The 6,774-nt window shown below is 37.9% G+C and overlaps 1 annotated feature.

The window, feature by feature from the left end:
* Nucleotides 296-848: an enhancer, noted in NCBI's record as "OCT4-NANOG hESC enhancer chr14:84971915-84972467 (GRCh37/hg19 assembly coordinates)". NCBI's record gives its function as "activates a minimal SCP1, AML or CMV promoter by ChIP-STARR-seq in naive and primed H9 embryonic stem cells {active_cell/tissue: H9 hESC(naive and primed)}" and the evidence as "EXISTENCE:reporter gene assay evidence [ECO:0000049][PMID:30033119]".

Raw genomic sequence — 6,774 nt, forward strand, 5'->3', positions numbered from 1 at the left:
ATAAAATGTGTCTCCTTTGTCTCTACCAGAAAATGAAAGGAATTGAAATTAAGAGAAGGAAGAGATTGAAGAGTGGAAAGAAGAAAGTGGTTGAGGGACAGTGAGAGAGGTTCGAGAAGAGAGTAAGAAGAGGCCGCTTACCCAATTTAAAATTGCTGCTATGTTCCTTGGGCTGGTTGGTCTGAGGACCTGAGGTCATAGGTGGATCTTTCTCACTGAGCAAAGAACAGGAGGACAGGGGATTGATCTCCCAAGGGAGGTCCCCTGATCTGAGTCACAGCACCAAATTTCATGCGCATCCGTGTAAAGAGACCACCAAACAGACTTTGTGTGAGCAATAAAGCTTTTAATCACCTGGGTGCAGGCAGGCTGAGTCTGAAAAGAGAGTCAGTGAAGAGAGATAGGGGTGGGGCCATTTTATAAGATTTGGATAGGTAAAGGAAAATTACAGTCAAAGGGGGGTTGTTCTCTGGCAGGCAGGAGTGGGGTCACAAGGTGCTCAGTAGGGGAGCTTTTGAGCCAGGATGAGCCAGGAGAAGGAATTTCACAAGACAATGTCATCAGTTAAGGCAGGAACAGGCCATTTTCACTTCTTTTGTGGTGGAATGTCATCAGTTAAGGCAGGAACCGGCCATCTGGATGTGTACGTGCAGGTCACAGGGGATGTGATGGCTTAGCTTGGGCTCAGAGGCCTGACAGTTACTTTGGTCATTTCTAGCTGATTCTCCAGGAACAATTTAAAAAAGGATTAGTTTTGCTAGTATTTATTGCTGATTTTTTTATTCTCCCTAAAACAAACCTGCTTTGGCTTACACATAATCATAAAATGTCTTTTATACTTTTATTATAACCAATTTACTACCCCATTTAGCAAAATCTAAATTTGGCCTAAAATTTTAAAACTTCTCAAATTATAAATAAAGCAAATTTGAAACTGAGTTTTCAATTTTTTAAATCAAAAAATTTGGGGGAGGGGGAGTGGAGGGGTAGATTTTATATATATAATAGTGCAGAAATTCAGGGGGAAAATGAAATAACTCAAATTTGACTTGCACTTGGAGAAACACTTTTCTTGAATTTTCTGCTTTTGGTTGAATACTGATCCTCTTGATCATTGGGAAGAACATTTAGATCTGTGAATATACTCCACATTTTCTCTTTCTTTTGGTCTGCAGTGAAGTCCCTGTCTTTCACCCAGAATACTCTCCTCTGGCCTGTTTTCTTCAATTATCTTCTCTTGTCCTGTGTCAAGCTTGTTCTTATTTATCTCTTAGATACCCTGTGCATCAATACTTTGCCCGTAAGGTCTTCACTGGCTGCCAGGTTTTGGACACCTTTAAATTCTCCATCAAAACACTTGTTCACGGATTGACTTGGCCATTTTCATGCTGGCCTCCACAGCTAGTATCTAAGTTTGAGAAACCAAGCCCCTTGACCATAGTAGTAACCACTGCATCTCTACCATTTATTGAGCTGAGTCCCTGTAGGTAGTAAGTGCTCAGCAAATAGCTGATGACAAACAAAGATGTTAATACTTGATTTTCATCTCATTTGAAATGCCAACTATCTTTCATAATAAACACACTTGTGCTTTCAGTGGACTTTTAACAACTTTCTTTCATGAGAATAGATTCCTCCTGCTTCCATCTTTGAGTCTTAGCTAGATTCACCCGCAAGTGGAATTGAGAATAAAGTAGAATTTTTCTTTTTATATTATAATTTCTTTATCCTAGTGTTGCATTTTTTACTACTTCCCAGGACTACTTACTTATCCTACTCTACTTTGCCTTACTCCCACATTCATCCCTAACAATGCTGTCTTCTGGCTGGGTGCGGTGGCTCATGACTGTAATCTCAGCACTTTGGAAGGCCAAGGCAGGTGGATCACTTGAGGCCAAGAGCTCGAGACCAGCCTAGGCAACATGGAGAAACCCTGTCTCTACAAAAAAATACAAAAATTATCCAGGTGTGGTGGTGTGCGCCTGCAGCCCCAGCTACACAGGAGGCTGAGGTGGGAGGATCACTTGAACTCAGGAGGCAGAGGTTGCAGTGAGCTGAGATCGCACCACTGCACTCCAGCCTGTGCAATCGAGCAAGACTCTATCTCAAAAACAAAAATCACAAAACTCTTGTGTTTCCTGTATTTCTCAGAGTCTGAATAGAATATTGATTATCTCACCTGTGACCTGCGTAGTAGCTATCAGGAATTGAGAAAAGGGGAAATATTTTTCGAAGAAAAGCAAGCCAATTATTTCCAATGATGGCTTCCCCATTTCTCAATTCTGGTCCTTTGACTATTTATTTAACCTCTATAAACTTACTCTCTCTATATAAAATAGGTATAATTAAACATCTTCAATGAGATTGCTGTGAAGATTAAATAGGTATATATGTGAATTATCTATACCAATTCATCTATTATAGTAGATGATTGTTAGATACAATGATTTTTGTTATTAACTCTATCACAAGCTAGAAAAGAATATTACATTAATATCACCTGTAAATTTGTATTAAAAAGTACAACAATATATTTTCAAAATTAAGTGGCTGAATAGATTAATTCAGTCAAATAGGGCTTTTGAGAGTCTTAAAATGAGCTCACATTTATTGACACATACTTTATTCCTTATTTTTTTGACAATATTATATGCTCTTCTTTCAGTAGCACTCTTTCAACATTGTACCCATTGCTTATCTAATTTCTACCTTCTAGTTTCCTTCTATTGCCACATAAGAGAGACAGTTGAAAGAATATATTTTTACTTGAAGTTAAAGAGGTTGTAGAATAAAATGATATTCCATAACGGCAAACTTGCTGTAAGCACAATACACCAAAGAAGAATTAAATAGGCAGAATTCAATAGTACATTTGAAGGATTCAAACGAGAATGCATACCATTCTTTACTTCTTGCCTTACAAATGTGGATGAGTATGCTGGCATCATTAGAAGAAGCCTCCAAATCTATTATTTTAATTATGATATAAAATATAATTTACTTTTTGCAGAGAAATGGTAAATAAAATGTATTTAATCCTGCAATTATTTATAAAGTAAAAATTTTTGTCATATTACTCCTTTTCCAGAAAATTAACAGTATTACCTAAAGAGCACCTCAGATTTATAATTTTTGAAGAGGTTTTATGTTTTAAATTAATTACTTTTTTGAATATGAAATACATATAGAATAATCATCATACATAGATATAGATAGAATAAATATTAAAATAAAAAAAGATTGTTACACTGGATTTAGAAAAATGAACATCTGAACTATAGCATATATTGACATACTTTACATATAATTATACAGAAATGTCAAAAGGAAAAGGAAAAAAAATGTATGTACTACCAAGCAAATAACAACCAAAAGGAAGTTAAGTAACTATACTATTCGAAGAATAGTATCAAAGAATGTAGAATTTAATGCAAGATAATCGCTAAGAAACAACTTTTCATAACAATTAAGACATCAATCAATCTATGTGCATGCACCTAAGAACATAACTTCAATAAATGTATGAGTTGACAAAACAAAAAGAAGGTAGTAAGAATAATGAAGATATAAATAATATGATTAACATATTTTACCTGAAACTACTATGCTGTAAATCAATAGATTATATATTATTTCAGTTATCCCTAAAACTTTACTAATACTGATCCTATGCTGAGCCATAAAACAGTTCTCAAAAAAGCTCCAAAAAATTAAAAATAGCCAGGTGCAGTGGCTCACACCTGTAAACCTAGAACTTTGGGAGGCCCAGGCAGGAGGATCACTTGAGTCCAGGGGTTCGAGATCAGCCTGAGCAACATAGGGAGACCCCCCATTTCTACAAAAACTACAAGAAATTAGCCAGGTGTGATGGATCATGCCTGTAGTCCCAGCTACACAGGAGGCTGAGGTGGGAGGATCACCTAAGCCCAGGAGTTCAAGGCTACAGTGAGTTGTGATTGTGCCACTGCACAGCAGCCTGAGTGACAGAGTGAGACCCTGTCTCGAAAGAAAGAGAAAGGAAAGAAAGAGAAAAAGAGAGAGAAAGAAATAAAAGAAAGAAAGAAAGGAAAGAAAGAAAGAGAAAGAGAGAAAGAGAAAGGGAGGAGGGGAGGAAGGGAGGAAGGAAGGGAGGAAGGGAGGAAGGGAAGGTAATTTAGAACATCTCTGACCACGAAGGAATTAAACTAGAACTCAGTAAAACAAGACAAATAGAAAGCATTTCAGATATCTTGAAATTACACAGTACACATCTATATAACACCTGGGACAAAAGGAAATTAGAAAATATTAAATTGAATAACAATGAAAATGCAACTAACCCCATGTTTGCCAAGAAATATATAACCTAAAAGGCTTTTTTTTTCTTTTTTCTTTTTTTTTTTTTTTTTTTTGAGACAGGGTCTCACTCTGTCACCCAGTCTGGAGTGCAGTGTCCTGATCTCGGCTCTCTGCAACCTCTGCCTCCCAAGTTCAAGGAATTCTCCCACTTCAGCCTCCTGACTAGCTGGGACTACAGGCATGTACCACCATGCCTGGCTAATTTGTTGTATTTTATGGTAGAGAAGGGGTTTCACCATGTAGGCCAGGCTGGTCTTGAACTCCTGACATCAAGTGACCTGTCCGCCTCAGCCCCCTGAAGTGTTGGGATTGCAGGTGTGAGCCACTGTGCCTGGCCTAGAAGGCATTTTTACATAGAAGAAAAGCTATATATCGGTGATCTAAGAATCTGCCTCAAAAAGTGAAAATAGAGTAGCAAACTAAACCCAAAAATGAGGGTGTATTAGTTTCCTAGCACTGCTGTAACAAATCACTACAAACTGGGTAGTTTAAAACAACAGTTGCATTCTCTCACAATTCAGGAGGCCAGAAGTCCAAAATCAAAGTGCTGGCAGAATTTGTCCCCTTCTGGGGGTTCGGAAGGAGAATCTTTTTCATGCTGTCTTTCCTGTGGCTTCTGGTAGTTGCTGTCATTTTGCAGTTACATTAATTCTAATCTCCCTCTATCATCACACGACTGTCCTCCCTCTGTGACTGTCTCTGGGTCTTTCCTCCTCTTCTTAGTAGTACACCTGCCATTTTGGATTAAGAACCCACTCTACTCCAGTATGTGTCATCTTAAGTCTAATTACATCCACAAAGGACCTATAAGCAAATAAGGTCCTATTCACAAGTACCAGATATATAAACATCTCTTCTTGGAAAACACAAATCAACACCAAACAGAGAAAAAAGCACAACAGAAAAGTATCAAAGTCAAAGTTTGGTTTTAAAAAGAAAATAAATAAGTAAAATAGAAATATACAACTCTAAAAATGCTCAGAAACCTCTGGCAGGGCTGATAAAGAAACATGCACACACATACACACACACACACACACACACACACACACACACACACTTAAGGTTGGAAATACCCTTTATTTCCTAAGCAGATATTAATTTCCCTTCATACTCTATTTTAATTTGTATATATTGAATTTTTGTTGATTAGTGTTAATTCATATACATTATATATAATAAATATGAAAAACAAAAATGAGATGACTGTGATGTAATTGAACAAACACTTGTTAAAAAATACAAGATAAATGATTCAAGCCTCAGATCTATGATTTGTGAACTCCAAACCCAAGACAATCAGTGAAACTCTAGGAATTTATTTTTTCTCATCTGTGGACTGTGAAGAGAGAGACATAGTTACCATTATATTGTGTTGGTTTTAATGGCAAATATAAATCAAAGCATTTTACAAATTCAAATGGTAGCAAATATAAGCTTAATGTGATAACAGAAAACATACTATAAATTTACAATTTAAGGCCAGGTGTGGTGGCTCTTGCCTGCAATACCAGCACTTTGAGAGGTGGAGGTAGGGGGAGTATCAGTTACGCCCAGGAGTTTGAGAACAGCCTGGGCAACATGGTGAAACCTTGTTTCTACAAAAAAAAAAAAAAAAAAAACTAAAAAAAAATAACCAGGCCTTTAGTCCTGGCTACTTGGGAGTCTGAGGTGGGAGGATTGCTTGAGACTGGGAGGTCCAGGCTGCAGTGAGCTGAGCTGCGATCAGGCCACTGCACTGTAGCCTGGGTGAAAAAAAAAAAAGAAACAAAAATTACAATTTACCCTCAGTAATTTAAATACTGTGTAAATTATACATGGTTCTAAAAACCTCCATCTTAGAGGTTTTTATTTTACTACCAATAAGTTGGTAGTAAAGTTACTCCCTCACTTTTAACCTTGATTTCTAGAAATTCTGTCAAAATGCATATTATCAGATTTTAATTTCGTATTTCTGAATAATGTTATTTCTATTAATTTGGTCTTTGGTTTTCTGATTCTGTTAGTTCACTTAGGATAATGGCCTCCAGCTACGTCCATGTTGTTCCAAAGTGTGTCTGGAATTGGTGGGCTCCTGGTCTCACTGACTTCAAGAATGAAGACTCGGACCCTCGCAGTGAGTGTTACAGCTCTTAAGTTGGCGCGTCTGCAGTTTGTTCCTTCTGATGTTCGGATGCGTTCGGAGTTTCTTCCTTCTGGTGGGTTCGTGGTCTGGCTGGCTCAGGAGTGAAGCTGCAGACCTTCGCGGTGAGTGTTACAGCTCTTAAGTTGGCGCGTCTGCAGTTTGTTCCTTCTGATGTTCGGATGCGTTCGGAGTTTCTTCCTTCTGGTGGGTTCGTGGTCTGGCTGGCTCAAGAGTGAAGCTGCAGACCTTCCTGGCGAGTGTTACAGCTCTTAAGTTGGCGCGTCTGCAGTTTGTTCCTTCTGATGTTCGGA

Source organism: Homo sapiens, chromosome 14 (assembly GCF_000001405.40).
Source record: "Homo sapiens chromosome 14, GRCh38.p14 Primary Assembly".
In the NCBI taxonomy this organism is placed as follows: domain Eukaryota; kingdom Metazoa; phylum Chordata; class Mammalia; order Primates; family Hominidae; genus Homo; species Homo sapiens.